Source organism: Homo sapiens, chromosome 13 (assembly GCF_000001405.40).
Source record: "Homo sapiens chromosome 13, GRCh38.p14 Primary Assembly".
Classification (NCBI taxonomy): domain Eukaryota; kingdom Metazoa; phylum Chordata; class Mammalia; order Primates; family Hominidae; genus Homo; species Homo sapiens.
The window spans coordinates 100,338,031-100,357,125 of record NC_000013.11 but is presented as its reverse complement, the minus strand read 5'-3'; the positions used below and the strand labels follow the sequence as shown (position 1 = coordinate 100,357,125).

General features: G+C 37.4%; 1 protein-coding gene and 1 long non-coding RNA gene across 38 annotated transcripts in view; one reads left to right on the top strand and one right to left on the bottom strand.

Moving 5' to 3' along the window:
• The window catches only part of PCCA (propionyl-CoA carboxylase subunit alpha), a 441,343-nt gene that overhangs the window by 173,310 nt on the left and 248,938 nt on the right, over window positions 1–19,095 (bottom strand). For 34 of the 35 annotated variants that reach the window (NR_148030.2, NR_148027.2, NR_148028.2 and 31 more), the window contains one exon: window positions 16,867–16,969. Coding sequence is in view for 29 of the 35 variants with exons in the window: in XM_017020609.2 (XP_016876098.1) it covers window positions 16,867–16,969 (103 nt within the window). In the remaining 6 variants the exon portion in view is untranslated. Of the gene's footprint in view, window positions 1–12,957; window positions 15,706–16,866; window positions 16,970–19,095 lie in introns of those variants that run through there. The other variant, XM_017020616.2, reaches the window with a different exon arrangement.
• LOC105370335 (uncharacterized) overlaps window positions 1–19,095 on the top strand; it is a 35,417-nt gene that overhangs the window by 7,817 nt on the left and 8,505 nt on the right. For 2 of the 3 annotated variants that reach the window (XR_007063851.1, XR_007063853.1), the window contains 3 exons: window positions 1,666–1,744; window positions 17,321–17,425; window positions 17,521–17,579. This is a non-coding gene — a long non-coding RNA (uncharacterized LOC105370335). The remainder of the gene's footprint in view (window positions 1–1,665; window positions 1,745–17,320; window positions 17,426–17,520; window positions 17,580–19,095) is intronic. The other variant, XR_007063852.1, reaches the window with a different exon arrangement.

Below are 19,095 nucleotides of genomic sequence, written 5' to 3'. Positions count from 1 at the left end.
CCATCCCCACAAGCAACTTTAAAACGTTTTCATTGCCTCATAAGGGAAACATTAGATACGAGAGCAGTTACTCTACATTCCCCTCCTCAGCCCTAAGCAACTGTTATGTACTTTCGATTTCTATAGCTTTGCTTATTCTGGGAAAATTTGTGATCTACTTTGACTGAATTATTTCATCTAGCATTTTTGCAAAATTCATCCATGTTGCAGAAAATATCAATAGCTCATTTATTTTTATTGCTGAAAAATAATCCATTCTATGAACGTATCACATTTTATTTACTATTATATACTCATTCATCATTTGAAGGACATTAGGGTTGTTTCCACTGGCTATTATGAAAAATGCCACTATAAACATTTGTATACAACATTTCTGTGCACACATGGTTTCATTTCCCTTGGGTATATACCAGGAAGTGGAATAGCTAGGTCATGTGGTAATCGTCTAATATTTTAAGAATCTGTCAAATTATTCCCAAGTTCATATCACTGTAGTCATAAATTCCCACCAGGAACATGTAATGGTTCCCATGTTTCCACATCTTCACCACTTCATGGGTGTGAAGTGGTATCTCATTGTGGTTATGACTTACATTTTCCTATCAACTAATGATACAGAGCATCTTTTATGGGCTTATTGGCCATTTCTATATCTTTTTTGAAAAATTTTTATTCATGTCCTTTGCCTATCTTTTAACTGGATCATTTGTCCTATTATTAAGTTGTAAGAATTCCCTATACTAGACAAAAGACTATTAAATATATATGATTTGCAAATATTGTCTCCCATTTTGAGGGATGTCTTTTCACTTTCTTCATCATGTCCTTTAAAGCACAAGTTTTAAATTCTGAAGTCCAATTTATCTAATTTTTCTTTTGCTGCGTGTACTTTTGACATCTTATGTAAGAAATTATTACCTAACCAAACGTAACAAAGATTAACTCCTATGTTTTTCTCTAAGAATTTTGTTGTATGCACTGTTACATTTAGGTCTATGATTCTTAAAGTTCATTTTTATGTATGGTGTGAGGAAGGAGACCAACTTCATTCTTTTACATGTGCATATCCAATTGCCCAAGCAGAATTTACTGAAAAGATTAATCTTAACTCATTCAATTTTCTTCCTATCCTTACTGAACTCAATTGACTGTAAATATAACAATTTATTTCTGGAGTCTCGATTCTATTCCATTGATCAACATGTCTATGCTTACGCCAGTACCACTTTGTCTTGATTATTGTAGCTTTGTAGTGTTTTGAAATCGGGAAGTAGGAGCCTCTGAACTTCATTCCTCTTTTACAATGCAAAAGCATTTTCATATGAATTTTGGAATCAGATGTCTATTTTTCCAAAAATAATGCAGCTGGGATTCTAGTAAGGATTGTGCTGAATCTGTAGATCAGTTTGGTGATCAATATTAGGTCTTCTGATTCAAAACATAGGGTGTTTTTCATTTAGGTCATCTTTATTTCAACAACATTTTATAGTTTTCAGTGTTCAAGTATTGCATTTCTTGTTTAAAATTTACATTTAAGTATTGTATATTTTTTGGTGCTATATAGAGTTGTTTTGTTAATTTCATTTTTGGCTTGTACAATGCCACTGTATAAAAACAAAAATTGATATTTGCATATCATTCTTGTATCCTGTATCCTTCCAGGACTCATTAGTTCTAACAGATTTGTTTGTCAATTCCTCAAGATTTTCTACATCTAAAATCATGTCATCTGCAAAAAGAGGTAAGTTGACTTCTCTCCAATCTAGATGCCCTTATTTTCAGGTGTGGGTTTATTACACATGCTCCTCATCAGTCTGAGGAAGTTGCCTTCTATTCCGAGTAGGCTGAGTGTTTTTCATAATGAAAAGCTGTTGGATTTTGTCAGATTTTTTTTTTGCATTTGAGATAATCCTGTGGTTTTTTTCTCTTATTCTATTAATATGATGTATCACATCGATTGACTTTTGTATGTTAAACCAACTTTGTATCTCTAGGAGAAACCTCATTTGGTTATGATGTATATCACTGTATATATTCTTGGATTCAGTTTGCCACTATTTGGTTGGGAATTTTTGCATTAATACTTAAGAAGGATATCAGCCTTTAGTTTTTGTCTTGCAATGACTTTATCTGGTTTTGGAATCATGATGATATTGGTCTTGTAAATTGGGATTTTGGAAGAGTTTGTGAGGATTAGTATTAAGTAATTTTCCTTTAACTTTTTTAACCAATGAAGTCATCTGGTCCTGAGTTCTTTCTAAGAAGTTTTGCAACGATTAGTTCCATCTCTTTACTTATGATAAGTCTATTCGGATTTCCTACTTTCTCTTGAGAAAGTGTTGGCAGTCTGTATCTTTCTATGAATTTCTCCATTTTATCTAAGTTATCTTGTTTATTGGTAAACAATTGTTCACAATATTCCCTTATGACCATTTTAATTTCTGTAAGGTCAGTAGGCATACCCCCTATTATTCATGATTTTACAATTTCAGTTTTTTTTCTTTTGGTCAGCCTATCTACAGGTTTGTCATTTCTGTGATCTTTCCAACAAACACATTTTGCTTTTATTGATTTCCTCTATTGCTTTCTAGTATCTATTTCATTTATTTGTACTCTAGTTTTCAGTATTTTATTCCCTCTGCTTTTGTTTGCTCTATTTTTCCATGTTTCCTGAAGTGGAAGATAAGGTAATTGATCCTTCCTTTCCTTCTCTCCCTCCCTCCCTCCCTTCCCTGCCTGCCTGACTGCCTTCCTTCCCTCCCTCCCTCCCTCCCTCCTCCCACCGCCCCCTCTCTTTCTTTCTTTCTCCCTTTCTTTCTCTCTCTCTCTCTCTCCTTCTTTCTTTCAACAGGGTCTCACTCTGTCAGCCAGGCTGGAGTGCAGTGGCATGATCTTGGCTCACTGCTACAGCCCTGACTTCCTGGGCTCAACCGATCCTCCCACCTCAGCCTTCTTAGTAGCTGGGATTACAAGTGTGTGCCACCACACCCAGCGAATTATTTTATTATTATTATTATTATTATTATTATTATTATTATTATTATTATTTGTAGAGATGGGGTCTCAAACTTCTAGGCTGAAGTGATCCTCCAGTCTCAATCTCCCAAAGAATTGGGATTACAGGCGTTAGCCACCAAACCCACACCCAGCTTTATTTCTTCTTTTATTTTGAGATAGGGTCTCACTTTGCCACCCAGGCAGGAGTACAGTAGTACGATCTTGGCTCACTGCAACTTCCGCCTCCCGGGCTCAAACAATTCCCCAACCTCAGCCTCCCAAGTAGCAAGGACTATAGGCACGTGCCACCATGCGCAGCATATTCTTGTATTTTTTATAGAGATAGGGTTTCACCATGTTGCCCAGGCTGGTCTCGAACTAGTGGGCTCAAACAATCTGCTCGTCTCAGCCTCCCAAAGTGCTAGGATTACAAATGTAAGCCACTTTGCCTGGCCTCTTCTTTTTTTAATACATGTGCTTACAGCTCTCATTTCCCTCTAAGCACTGCTTATGTGCAGCCCACACGTTTTTAGATGTTGTGATGTTTATATTAACCACAAAATATTTTCTAGTTTCCTCTGTAATTTTGTAAATCTATTGGTTATTTGGTAGTACATTGCTTAATTCCACATATGTATGAACTTCCCAAATTTTCCTTGTTGCTTTCTAATTTCATTTAATTTGTCAGAAACATACTTTGGATGATTTCAATTCTAGTAAATTTACTGAGGCTTGTTTTATGGCCTAGTATATGGTATGGTAAATATGGTCTAGCCTGGAGAATGTTATACGTGCACTTGAGACAGGTATATTCTGCTGTTGTTGGAGAGATTATTCTAGAGATGTCTGTTAGATCTATTTGGTCTATAGGGCTGTCCGACACTTTTACTTCCTTGCTGATATTCTCTCTAGTTGTTCTATCCATTTTTCAAAGTGATGTATTGTGGAATTGCCTATTTCTCTCTTTGTCTCAGTTTTGCTTCACATATTTGGGAATTGTGTTATTAGGTACATATATGTTTATACTTGTTATAGCTTTCTGATGGATTGACCCTTTTATCATTATAAAATACCCCTCTGTCTCTAGCAATAATTTTGTCTTGAACAATATTTTGTCTTGGCAGCTCATGCCTGTAATCCCAGCTACTTGGAAGGCTGAGGCGTAAGGATTACTTGAGTCCAGGCATTTGAGGTCAGGAGTTCAAGACCAGCCTGGGCAATATAGGAAAAACCTACCTCTAAAGAGATTTTTAAAAATTAGCTGGGCATGGTGGAGTACATCTGTAGTCCTAGTTCCTTGGGAGGCTAAGGCAGAAGGATCACATGAGCTCAGGAATTAGAGGCAGCAATGAGCTATAATCACACCACTGTATTCTAGCCTGGGTGACAGAGCAAGACCCTGTCTCTGGAAGAAAAAAAAAATACAAAAAAAGGCTGGGTGTGTTGACTCATGCCTATAATCCCAGCACTTCAGGAGGCTGAGGTGGGAGGATCACTTGAGCCCAGGAGTTCGAGACTTGCCTGGGTAACATAGCAAGACCTCATCTCTATTTAAAAATATATATATAGCCAAATGTTAGGGCATGCACTCTAGTACCAGCTACTCAGGAGGCTGAGGCAGGAGAATCACCTGAGCCCAGGAGTTCAAACTTGCAGTGACCTGTGATGCCACTGCACTCCAGACTGGGTGATAGAGCAAGACCCTATCTCAAAAAAAAAAAAAAAAGGCTATTTTGTTTGACATCAGCATTATTAGTAATAAAATACTGATAATAATATTACGAATACAATGTCTGTCTGATACTTTTTTCCATCCTTTTACAATTGACCTATTTATGCCTTTAACTCTAAAGTGTGTCTCTTGTAAAGCATATGGTTTGATCATATTTTTAAATCTATTCTGTCAGTATCTGCTCTTGATAGGCTTAAGCCATCTGCATTTAATATAATTAATTACCCATCAGGTAGGATTTACATCTACCATTTTGCTTTTTACTTTCTATATGTCATATCTTTTTTCTCCCTCTATTCCTTTATTATTGTCTTGTTTTAAATCAACGTTTTCTATTGTCTTATTTTAATTCCCTTGACTTTTCTTTTACTAATACTATTTTTTAAAGTTATTTTCTTAGTGGTTACCCCGGGCATTACAATTTGAACCATGCTTCCAAGCAACATGGTTTGCTAGTCTCTGCTCTACCTTGTCTTACACATTTCTTAGTATTTTCCAAATATCACAGGATTTATTCACAGAACAAATTTCATTGAACATATTATTGGGGATAAGGCTGAAAAGATGACTAGGTAGTTCTGTAAAGGGAAACTGAGGTCTATCCAATTCAAGTCAAATAATCAATATCTAAACATATGCATTTTTATCTTCACTAATCTATTATTATTAAATTACTTATTTTAAGGAAAAGGTAGTTCTAAAGTAAACTGATGAAGAGATATTAAAGCACACAATGCCCACACTGGTCTCCTAGAAAAGATGTCTAATCTCATTCTAGTACATCTCGTTACTTCACCCATCTCCACATGCATAAATCATTATGGTCTTCATATATACAAATATAGAAAAAAGCATTATACTGAAAAATCAAGTAATCACATCTTCATATATACAAACAGAGAAAAAAGCATTATACTGAAAAATCAAGTAATCAAATCTTCATATATACGAACAGAGAAAAAAGCATTATACTGAAAAATCAAATAATGGGTTCAAAAGATATATTTTCCCATTTGCACCAAATCTATTCCTTTTTTAAGTTTTTTACTTATCTCACTGACAATCTCTAAACCACTTTTAAATCTTTTTTTGGAACAAGGCTGAACACAAATATAATATATACAAATATTCCTCCATTACCTACAGAAAATTGCCTTACACAGATCAGCTAACTTGCGTTTTTAATAATAATCTTTGTATTATGGAAATTAATCTTTTGACATTTTATTATAAATGCACTGATGGTGTTGATTTAGTTTCAATTCAAAAATCAAGGATTTCATTACCCTATAAAACATATCCAGAGTTCAAACTATTTAAGGGGGTTAAACAAAATGCAAACATTTAATGCAACATTAAGCATGTGAAATAAAAACTTGATTGCCTAAAGAAAGCATGCTATGCTGTTACCCTGGTGACAGGTTAAAAAAGGGATTGTAAGCTGAATAGCTGTATGATATGAAATTAAAATGTTTCACATTGAACAATCCAAAATGAATTGGGAAAGGTTAGAGTAGAGGAGAGAGAAATCAATTCTCCAATGGCAATGGTGAATGGGAAAGAAGTATGAATAGGATTTGCCAGTGGGGTGCAACAGCTGCCAAATATCCTGCAGCCAAAGAATTACAATAATACTGATGAAGTGTGCAAGAGCTTCTGGAATCATGGTAGGGAACAGAGAAATTCTCCAGCAATAATCAGGCTATTCTGCCTTTCCCTCAGCTCTTATAGTAGGATCAAAATAAAAATATTTTACAATGTAATAGTAAGCAAAAATATGTAAATGTGCTTTCTTATCCACTTAGTATCTTGTACTTAATCTCACATAGATTTCTAAACCATCTTCAACACAGTCATATTAAGTAACTGAAAATATCATAACAGAGACAGTAAAAAGTAAGGCAAGCTTAAGTGATAATGATTGAGTTAATGTTTTCTCCCATCTTGTTGCTTTTAGGGGATTTATTTGCTCAAATGAACGTAGCTATTTCCAAACACAAAGAGTGTATACATACGTTTGTAAATATATACTTAAAGTGCTATTTTTTTTTATTGTATAGTTAGGTATCACGTCACCTTCATTGTCACAGTGAAGTGGCTTATCTGAGAGTATGAAACGAGTTATGATAAGTTGTTTTATTTTCATTGACGTATAAATGTGTTATAATTTCACATGCTCTTTTAATTCAGAAGACATCTTAGTAAAAGAGCCAGTATGTACCCGTTCAACAATACCGGCTTTTCCTTGGGAATTATTTTCACACGGTTACTTTTTTCTATGTTTCTCACCCCACTCATCTTTCAGTGGTTAAGATCATATTTCAAAAACCTTAAACTTTTATCATCTAATTGAAAATTTAATAACAGGTGAATAAATTCTATATCTGAAACCAGGAAAGGCAAAGAAAAATAAACAGATAATTGTCTCTGCTAGGCAGAAATCACTAAAAAATCGATTCTCCATTTTATCAGGAAGCCAGATGAGGAAAGATAATACAATACAAATGCAGACACAATGACTGCACATACAAAGAACCCAAGAGGAAGTAATTTCCCGTTATGCTACTGTGGCTGAAAGAGTTAAACTGACACCAGGCTGTGTAGCCAGCCGTGATACTTGATATGTTCTCCTAAGCCTGAGCACAAAGTACACTGATTCCATGCAGCCAAAGTCATCCTCCACCAAAGGGAGTGCTTTATTTTAACCTTTCAGGCTGAAGTATTTCCATTAATATTATAGGCCATAGTGAAGTTGTTTCTTTTTCTGAGTCTTTAACCCCTGCTCAAATACCAAGAGGGAAATTATGAGGATAAAGTAGAAACCAGAAAGTGGCCGGGCGTGGTGGCTCATGCCTGTAATCCCAGCACTTTGGGAGGCCAAAGCAGGTGGATGACCTGAGGTTGGGATTTTGAGACCAGCCTGGCCAGCAGGGCAAAACCCAGTCTCTACGAAAAATACAAAAATTAGGCCAGGCACGGTGGCTCACGCCTGTAATCCCAGCACTTTGGGAGGCCGAGGTGGGTGGATTATCTGAGGTCAGGAGTTCGAGACCAGCCTGACCAACATGGAGAAACCCAGTCTCTGCTAAAACTACAAAAAAAATTAGCCAGGCATGGTGGTGCACGCCTGTAATCCCAGCTACTTGGGAGGCTGAGGCAGGAGAACTGCTTGAACCTGGGAGGTGGAGGTTGCGGTGAGCTGAGATTGCGCCATCGCACTCCAGCCTGGGCAACAAGAGCAAAACTCCGTCTCAAAACAAACAAACAAACAAAAAATACAAAAATTAGCCGGGCCTGGCGGTGCATGCCTGTAATCCCAGCTACTTGGGAGGCTGAGGCAGGAGAACTGCTTGAGCCCAGCGGGCAGAGGCTGTAGTGAGCCAAGATCACACCACTGTACTCCAGCCCGGATGAGAGAGCAAGACTGAGGAAAGAAAGAAAGAAAAGAAAGAAAAGAAAGAAAAGAAAAGAAAAGAAAAGAAAGGAAGGAAGGAAGGAAGGAAAGAAAGAAAAGAAAGAAAGGAAAGGGAGGAAGGGAGGAAGAGAGAAAGAGAAAAAGAGAGAGAAAAGAAAGAAAGGAAGGAAGGAAGGAAGGAAGGAAGGAAGAAAGAAAGAAAGAAAGAAAGAAAGAAAGAAAGAAAGAAAGAAAGAAAGAAAGAAAGAAAGGAAAAAAAACGGAAAGTAAAAGCTGATTCTCAAGAAAGCTGAATCCAGATCCAAGAAAAAACAGACATTTTGAGCAAAAATAAAGATTACTAAAAATGATTAAAATGTTACCTTTACTATTTTTTCTTCCAATCATTACCAGTTAGTGAAACAAATTATTATATCAAACTACAATGTCAACAAAATCATTTTAGCTTTTAAAAAAAGTGGTTGTTTAATATAACTAGCTTTTAATGATTCATTTCTGTCAATATAAGTGTTTAAGAATAATTATTAAAAAGAAGCCTTCATGGTAAGTCAGAAAAAGATTGAGCTCATCAAATTCATTTTATAGTCATCCCCCAAAAAATGGCTATTGTTTCTGACATTAACTTTTCTTTTTTTCTAAAATGAACCACTATTGTTTTACTATCCAAATACTAGGGGTATGTATTATTAATGTGTTTTTCCAAGTCATAAATGATGAAAGAGTGAAGCCCATAGAGAAATTGGGAAAATAAGATCAGCAGCCAAAACAAGCAACACAAAGGAAGGGCTGTGGGCTACTGGTTTGGAAGGAAAAACATTTCACGGACACACCCATGACAAAGCAATACAGAGCCACACCTGGAGGGTGACTCTTAGAATCCATTCCCAAGCCGATTGTGAAAACATGACTCTAAAGCCAAAATGTGAAGGTTCAAACACCGTACATCAGCTTTCATGATGTAGGTGTCAAGGACCTCCTCAGTAAGCAAGCCAGAAACATAGCTTCACTTAGCTACACAAGATTATGCTTCCTGAAGAAGAACACTATATTTACTAAATGTTACAGCTCTACACTGTTATAGGGTGTAGCAATTTTACAATAAACTGATAATACTAAATAAGTGATAGTACCTTTTTTTCAACAGAAAATAAACTCACCAAAAATGAACAATTGCTTGTTGTATAGAAAATAAATGTGCAATTATCTGGATAAGTGAACTTGCAGTCTACATATTTCATAAATACATATTTTGTTTCTAACTTCTAAAAGATAATGAGTTAAAAAATAAGATACTTAAATTTTTTAATGTAGCAATTATCACATTTACAATTTTAGCTAGAAATTAGCAAAGACTATAAAGATTGCTTCTTAACCTCCACTTTATAAAGCAATTGCCCTAAATATTTCAACAATCTCTAAGGAATGTTGTGTTTAAACTATCTAAAACACTACAAATCACAATATAACATACTCTGTGTTTCCCAAAAGCATTCATTGGAATATTAATTTTTCAAAGAGCTTTTAGGAAAAAGGTTTTCACAAGAAAAAAAGAGTGTAGGTAAGAGTCCAACTATATCCTGCTCTTAAGAGTTTCAGAATGCATTTTAGTATATAGGAATACCTTGGAGATACTGTGAGATCAGTTCCAGACCACTGCAATGAAGCAAGTATTTCAATAAAGCAAGTCACATGAATTTGTTACTTTTCCAATGTGTATAAAAGTTACGTTTACACTGTGTTGTAGTCTATTAAGTGTGCGATAGCTCTTAAAAACAATGTACAAACCTTAATTAAAAAGTAGTTTAGGCTGGCGTGGTGGCTAACACCTGTAAACCCAGCACTTTGGATGGCCGAGGCAGGCGGATCACAAGGTCAGGAGATCGTGACCATCCTGGCTAACACGGTGAAACCCCGTCTCTACTAAAAAATACAAAAAAATTAGTGGGGTGTGGTGGCATGTGCCTGTAGTCCCAGCTACTTGGGAGGCTGAGGCAGGAGAACTGCTTGAACACAGGAGGCGGAGGTTGCAGTGAACCAAGATCACACCACTGCCCTCCAGCCTGGGCGACAGAGCGAGACTCCATCTCCAAAAAAAAAAACTTTATTACTAAAAAAATGCTAACCCTCATCTGAGCCTTTAGTGAGTCATAATCTTTTTGCTGATAGAGGGTAGCTGCTGACTGATCAGGCTGATGGATGCTGAAGGCTGGGGAGGCTGCGGCAGTTTCTTAAAATAAGACAACAATAAAGTTTGCTAAACCAATTGATTCTTCCTCTCATGAAAGGTTTCCCTGTAGCATGTGATGCTGTTTGATACCATTTTTCCCACAGTAGAACTTCTTTCAAAATTAGAGTCAATCCTCTCAAAACTTGCCGCTGCTTTATCAACTAAGTTAATGTAATATTCTAAAATCCTTTTCAACAATGTTCACAGCATCTTCACCAGAAGCAGAGTCCATCTTAAAAACTTTGCTTTTTAAGCAAAATTTCTTTGCTCATCCATAAGAAGCAACTCTCATCCATTCAAGTTCTATCACGAGATTGCAGCAACTGAGTCACATCTTCAGGTTCCACTTCTAGTTTTCTTGCTATTTCCACCCCAACTGTAGCTATTTCCTTCAATGACATCTTGAACACCTCAAAGCCAGTTCTTCCAAACTCCTGTTAATGTTGATCTTTTATTTTGCCCATTGAAGCACAAATGTTCTTAAGGGGATCTAGAATGGTGAATCCTTCCCAGAAAGTTTTCAATTTGCTTTGTCCAGATCCATCATAGGAATCACTATTTATGGCAGCTATCGCCTTGTGAAATGTATTTCTTAAATAATAAGACTTGAAAATCAAAATGACTCCCTGATCCATGAGCTACAGAATGAACGTTGTGTTAGCAGGCGTGAAAACAACATTAATCTCCTTGTGCTTCTCCATCAGAGCTCTTGGGTGACCAGGTGCACTGTCAATGAGCAGCAATCATTTGAAAAAAAAATTTTTTTTTTTTTGAGAAGTAGGTCTCAACAGTGGAGTCAAAATAATCAGTAAATGATGCTGTAAATGTACATTTTGTCATCCAGGCTTTGTTGTTCCATTTCTAGAGCACAGGGAGAATAGATTTAGTATAATTCTTAAAGACCCTAGGGTTTATGAAATGGTAAATGAGCACTGGCTTCTACTTCAAGTCATCAGTTGCATTAGCCCCTACCAAGAGAGTCAGCTGGTTCTTTGAAGCTCTGAAGCCAGGTATTGACTTTTCCCCTCTAGCTATGAAAGTATGAGATGGCATCTTCTTTCAATAGAAGGCTGTCTTATCTACATTGAAAATCTGCTGTTCAGTGTAGCCACCTTCATCGATGATGCTAGTGAGATCTTCTGGATAACTTGCTGCAAGCTTCTACATCAGCACTTGCAGCTTCCCCTCCACTTTTATGTTATGGAGACAGCTTCTTTCCTTAAATCTCATGAACTAAGCTCTGATAGCTTTAAGCTTTTCTTCCGCAGCTTCCTCACCTCTCTCACCCTTCACAGAATTGAAGAGAGTTAGGGCCTTGCTCTAGATTAGGCTTTCACTTAAGTGAATGTTGTGGCTGGTTTGATCTTCTATCCAGACCTATAAAACTTTCTCCATATCAGCAATAAGGCTGTTTCACTTTCTTATCATTTGTGTGTTCACTGGAATAGCACTTTTAATTTCCTTCAAGAACTTTTCCTTTGCATTCACAACTTGGCTAACCATTTGGCACAAGAGGCCTAGCCTGCCTCGGCTTTGAATATACCTTCTCCACTAAGCTTAATCATTTCTACCCTTTGATTTACAGTGAAAGATGTGCTACTTATTCCTTTCACTTGAACACTTAGAGGCCACTGCTTTGTTATTAATTAGTCTAACTTCAATATTACTTTATCTCAGGGAATAGGGAGACCCAAGGAGAGTGAGAGACACTGGGAATGGCCAGGTCAGTGAATCAGAACACACACATTTGTCAATTAAGTTCACCACCTTACACGTGCATGGTTTGTGGCACCCCAAAACAATTACAATGGGAACATCAAAGGTCACTAATCCCAGATCACCAAAACAGATATGATAATAATGATGAAGTCTGAAATGTAATGAGAATTACCAAAATGTGACACAGAGACAGTGAACACATGCTGTTGGAAAAACAGCACAAAAAGACTTGCTCAATGCAGGGTTGCCATAAACCTTCAATCCGTAAAAAATGCAATATCTGAGAAGTGCAATAAAGCAAAGGACAATGAAATGAGGTGTGCCTGTATGACAGTCTCTAAGAGGTTTCTAACTTAACAAGGGATTTTCCACGTTTATTTAAACACAGAAACATTTTCTTAAGTAATGCATTTTAATACTCCCCCAAACTAGCGCTCTATGGAGCACACATTAAGGAACACCGTTGAAGTCTAAAACTGTGTGCATTTGATTATTACAAAAAAATCATGGAACTAATGAGTACAAAAGCATGCCCCAAGTATTTCCTAATGGGCTCAAAGGGGCATATATATTATTATTAAAGAAGAAACAGTCAAAGGGATAGGAATATATCATATTGCTAAGTCTTTAGGAGCTACAATTATGCCTGTCAAGGATCTCAAACTCAACTGCCTAAATGGAACTTCTCATATTTTCTTTTCAAAGCTGCTCTTGCACTTTTGTTATTACCACCATCCACCAGGTCTTCCAAGTCAGTAACCTGACTCCTTAATATCTGCTTCTACTCAAGTTTCGAATACAATTTATTTTTACATGTATCTTCCATCATCTTAACACTTCTCATAATACTTCCCACCTCTTTCAAGCCCTTTGTTGGTACCACATTTACAGTTTTTTAAGTTGCATTAAGATATAATTTACTTGTATAACATCTATACATTTTACTTTTTATTACTTTGAGACAGGGTCTCGCTCTGTTACCCGGGCTGGAGTGCAGTGGCGTGATCTCGGCTCACTGCAACCTATGCCTCCCAGGCTCAAGCAATTCTCGTGCCTCAGCCTCCTGAGTAGATGGGACTACAGGCATGCGCCACCAAGCCTGGCTAATTTTTGTATTTTTAGTACAGACAGGGTTTCGCCATGTTGGCCAGGTTGGTCGCGAACTCCTGGCCTCATGTGATCAGTCCGCCTTGGCCTCCCAAAGTGTGGGACTACAGGCATGAGCCACTGCACCTGGCCAATAACATCTATACATCTTAATTGTATAGTCTGATGAGATTGTAATACATTTATATCACTTCTCGGCCTTTTGGCTAAGATCAAGTGAGATTGTAATACATTCATACAGTTGTACACCCATCACCCCAATCCAGTTTTAGAACAATAAAACTCATGTGCAGTCAATCTTGCTCCCATACCCAGACCCAGACAACCACTGATCTTTCTTTTGTTCTTTATACTTTTTGCCTTCCCTAGAAATTTCAAATAAATGAAGTCATACATTACATAGTCTTCTTTATCTGGTTTCTGTCTCTTCACATGTTATTTCTGAGATTTACACACATTAGTGAATGTAGCTGTTTATTCTTTGTTACTGCTGAATAAGCTCATAGTATGGATATGCCACTTTTTATTTACCCACTCATTACTTGATGCATATTATTCTAGTGGGTGTGTAGTGGTATAGATTTGTGATTTTGTTTCTCCACTGACCGATGATGCTGAGCATCTTATCATGAACTTATGTGCCATTCATTTATCTTCTCTGATAAAAAGTCTAAGTCAAACCTACTGCCCGTTTTTTATTAGATTGTTTAGCTTATTTGTTTGTTTGTTTGAGACGGAGTCACACTCTTTCACCCAGGCTGGAGTGCAGTGGCGCATTCTTGGCTCACTGCAACCTCCGCCTCCTGGGTTGAAGCAATTCTCCTGCCTCAGCCTCCCTAGTAGCTGGGATTACAGGCACCCGCCACCACGCCCCCGCTAATTTTTGTACTTAGCAGACACAAGGTTTCGCCCAGCTCAGGTCTATAATTCCAGCACTTTGGGAGGCCAAGGCTGGTGGACTGGATCACTTGAGCCCAGGAGTTCGAGACTAGCCTGGACAACATGGTGAAACCCCATCTTTACAAACAATACAGAAATTAGCCAGGCGTGGTGGTATGTTCCTGTAATCCTGGCTACCAGGGACACTGAGGCAGGAGGGTCGCTGTAGCCCAGGAATTCAAGGCTGCAGGGAGTTATGACTGTGCCACTACACTTCAGCCTGGGCGACAAAAGCAAGACTTCATCTCTCTAAAAAGAAAAGAAAAAAAAAAAGTTTACCAAAAAAGCAATCTGAAGAAATCACACCGCAGGTAGCACCACAAGCAAAAGGAGGCAGGGAGTGCACTGGAAGAGACGATGTAAAGATAGAGTCGTCTGAGTTACACACAAGCATCCCTTTGTTAAAACTGTACAGGTAAGGCTGGGCGCGGTGGCTCATGCCTATAATCCCAGCACTTTGGGAGGCCCAGGTGGGTGGATCACCTGAGGTCAGGAGTTCAAGACCAGCCTGGCCAACATGGTGAAACCCCATCTCTACTGAAAATACAAAAAAAAATTAGCCAGATGTGGTAGTGTATGCCTGTAGTCCCAACTACTCAGGAGGCTGAGGCAGGAGAATCGCTTGAACCCGGGAGATGAAGGCTGCAGTGAGCCGAGATCGCACCACTGCACTCCAGCCTGGGCGACAGAGCAAGACTCTGTCTCAAAAAACAAAAACAAAAACTGTACAGGTAAGAAGTGTATATGTGTGTTTGTATATTTTACCTTAAAAAATTAACAAATGGGGAAAGTGTGGAGTGGGTAGAGGTAAAAATGAAACAAGGAAGATAGATTTTTTACAGTCATTGAAGCTAGATAATGTGTGCATGGGTGTTCAATATACTGCTGTTTATCTTGCACAAGTAATTCAAACCATATTCCCAGGTTTATGACTCTAATTATGCAAAGTATAAATGCTACATGTATGTATATAAAAATACATATATATACACACACATAAATACATATATATATATATATATATATATACTTTGAAGGGTTCTACCAAAACATTAAAAGTAATTATTGAATAATTATGGGATTACAGGTAATTTTTATTCTCCATCTTTTTAAGCCCTTTTCAGATTCTTCCACACAGTAAGGCAGCACTCTCTGAAAATAACTTGCATACATTTCTTAAAAATCAAACCAGTCATATTTAGCTACACTCAGAACTTCTGAAATAATCAAGGTCCAAATAACATCTGAAGGTAAAGGAATTAGGATCTGAATACTGCATTTATCAAAAGAATAAAAAATATGAAATTCAGGTTTTAAAACAAAAGCAACATTCTCTCCTACACACATATCCCTCCAGACAAATGCTGTCCAACAGAACTTGATGGAAACACACCTGCTGTGGTGGAAAGCCTCTTAGAGTTGCCCAGTGCAGGAGCTGCTAACCACGCGTGGCTATGGAACAGTTGAAATGTAGCCACGTTTCCGGTAACTTTGAAAAGGATTCTTCCATTCACTTTAATCTTAATTGCCATACATGGCTAGTGCCTCCCATACTAGACCGCACAACTATGTGGGGGGGAAACAACCAAACAACAAGCACTGAGGTGTACAGACATCGGGGGAGCAAAGACCATTCAAATAAGACAACAAAATCCTGCTCACAGGAAGTTTATATTGGGAAAGAAGTTTAATTTGGGAAAGAAGATATTAAACAGATGCACAAGCAGATTCACGGTTCTATTGACCATTTTCCTCCTCCGTCCAGTCATTCAGTCATTTACTGATATTCTATATCTTCTCATCTCTCCCTGGTAGCTACCAAATCATAACTTTTAAAAAGATACACTGTAAGCTTCCTATTCTTTCTAGGTAAAGAGAACAAGTGAAGAGTACCAACTACACTGAGATTTCCTGAATAAAACCACATTAGCCACTAAGATACAGCCTAAATCCAATTTAGTTTCTCCTCTACCTAATTCTTCAGAAGTAATTTCAGTTTCTGATTTGTGCTTTTCAAAGCTAGTTCATCACCTTCCATCTTTTTTTTTCTTTTTTTTAAACTTTGTTCTTCCTCTTGTGAAAAAGTAAAAAGGAAAAGAAACTGAAGTAACAATTTATCAACAGCATGATTCCTTTAAAGGGATTGCTCCAGCAAGTAAACACACATTCATAATAAACAATCCTCTCTCTAGAAGCACCAATGGCATTGAGGTTTTGTTTCTACTTACCCTGATATAAAGCATGTTCTCCTTTTACCTGGGTCACTAGGAAGCTAAAAGGCACACTTGTGTCTCACAAATGACTAACTCAACCTGGTGTTAATTCCTTCTTGTGTGTTCACTAGTTTCTGATATATATTTTTTTAACTGCCCAGATTCATTCCTACATTTAAATATACTTCTCCAAACGTTTTTCAAGATAAGTAAATAAAACAGAAATCATAAACACAAACTACTCGAATGGATTTCCCATCGGATTTCAGACTATCTTCTTATGTCCAAATTAAAAGGGCCAAGATCCTTTTATCCTTTCTGAACTTAAAAAAACTTGTTTAAACAAAATGTAAGCAATATCATATTTATACAGTGTGACTTTATTATACTTCTCCAAAGACCCATAAGATCTCTAGAACTGAGATCAGCCACATCTTTTATTAGTATTTCCTATGTAGACTGGATTATCAATATTGTTCTGCTCATTTATTCTGTTTTAAATGATCTACCATACCTTGAATTTTCTTGAAAATGTTGTGCTCTTAACTGGAATGCCACAAACAATGATGATGCTATTGCCAATAACTGGTTCTTCTCACTCTTGGTTAGCATGTGTCCTGAGGGAAATCAATCAACCAATCAATCAATCAATCATTTATTTTAACATCTGTGCTTCTCTCCTATAGAATTACTAGTCATTCAAACAAGTATTTTATAGGGCATCTATTATGCAGCTAGGATTGTACTAGGCACTGGGGTGTGCGGACATTGAGGAAGCAAGACCATTCAAATAAGACAACAAAATCCTGCTCACGGGAAGTTTATATTGGGAAAGAAGTTTAATTTGGGAAAGAAGATATTCAACAGATGCACAGAACAAAGACAATTAAAAAGAAAAAACCATCCACACAGAGATCTCCAGGAAAAGCATAAGCTCCTCACATCTGCTTCTCTCTGTCCTTTCCCAGCCCAGCTTCCCTGCTGAGGGAAGTGAGGATAGCGTGCAAGAAGCCCCTGTCCCTGGAGAAAAGGAGAGCGGCTGGTCAAGGACACAGATGAGGCCATGCTTTCTGGTGCGAAGATCCAAAGAATATCACGCCGTGATTCTTCTGCTTCTCTGCATGAATCCCAATCAACCAACCAATCTCTCTCCTCCTCTCACTCACAGTATCTTCCTACCATTACACAGCTGGACCTGGGATAGTCGGCTGGCCGCAAAGGCCTGGGGTGAGTGACTGATTGAAGAATTTGCGTAATTCTTCAAGAAGGTTGTGAGTCAAGGTAGGATTCAAATACTCCAGGGTCTATAGGTTAACACATCCTTTGACAGCTCTGTAACTTCACCACAAATCTAAAACTATTTATTTACCAGAGTACTACATATAGATAGTAGAGTATTAAATGGGACAGTATGAGCAACTTGAATGCTGGCTCGTCAGCCATAAGGTGCTACTTTTACAGTCGACCCTCCATGGATTCAAACAACTGCAGGTTGAAAATATTTGAGAAAAAAAATGTATTGTTGTCTGTACTGAACATGTACAGGCTTTTTTTTCTTGTCATTTTCCTCAAAGCAATGCAGTATAACAATGATTTACACAGCATTTACATTGTACTACGCATTATAAGTAACCTAGAGATGATTTAAAGTGCAGGGAGGATATGTCTAAGTTATATGTAAATACGACACTGGGGAATTGAGCTTCTGTGGATTTTTGTACCTGAAAGGGTCCTAGAACCAATCACCCACAGATACCAAGAAACAAATGTACAATTCAAAAAAAGAAAAAAACTAGTTGCCTAAACTTATTTGGAAGAAATGAAGTAATTTAAACATTATGTCTAAAAAATCACTCAAAATACAAATAAGACTAAAAATATTCAAAATTAAGATACAAATACTTCCAATATCTACAGCACAATTTTCCACAGGGAAGTAATCTATCTGCTCCCTGAAGGGCAGGGAGAGCACAGGTAATCCACCCTCTTTTGAGACAAACCTAGACATTACATAAAACATAATACAAATATGGGATCTACCAACTGGTTCTGGGAATTCCATACTAGATCCTCACAACAGCCTAATAAACCATACTCTTATGGGCATTGGAAAGTTCCTCATTTTCCCCTGACACCTAAGCAGTGATGAAAACATCCCATATGATTACATAATTACTCTATATAAGAAGTATTACAAAAATTTGCTCTCAGTCTTGTCAAAACATACAGTTGAGAAGAACAGTTCTCATAGCATGACCTGCCAACAACTGGGAGTCCCCAGGAGTCCTTGCAAGGTCAAATGATTTTCATAGTACTACTAAAATATATTTGCTTTTTTAACTCTCATTTTCTCAAGAGTATACTGCAGAGGTTCCCAGATCCAAGGGACACATATTGTGTGATGACATCACTGCTCTCATGCATGTCAACACGTAATGGATTTATTACCATTACTTTCAGAATGAATGAATAAATATTTTCAAGTTCCTCAGTTTTAATTTATAATGTGGTAAATATCAATATATATAATCACAAAAGCTCTCTGGAGTGTAAAAAGAACCAGTGCTTCTCAAACTTCACCAAACATCAGAATCACCTGGATTAAAGATGCTGTGTGCACTTCACCAGCAGACTGACTGGTAGAAGGTATGAGGGCAAGGGGTAATAATCTGCATTTCTAACAAGCTCCAGGGTGATGCCGATGCTGCCAGTCAGCAGATCTCACTTTGAATACAACTGTTCT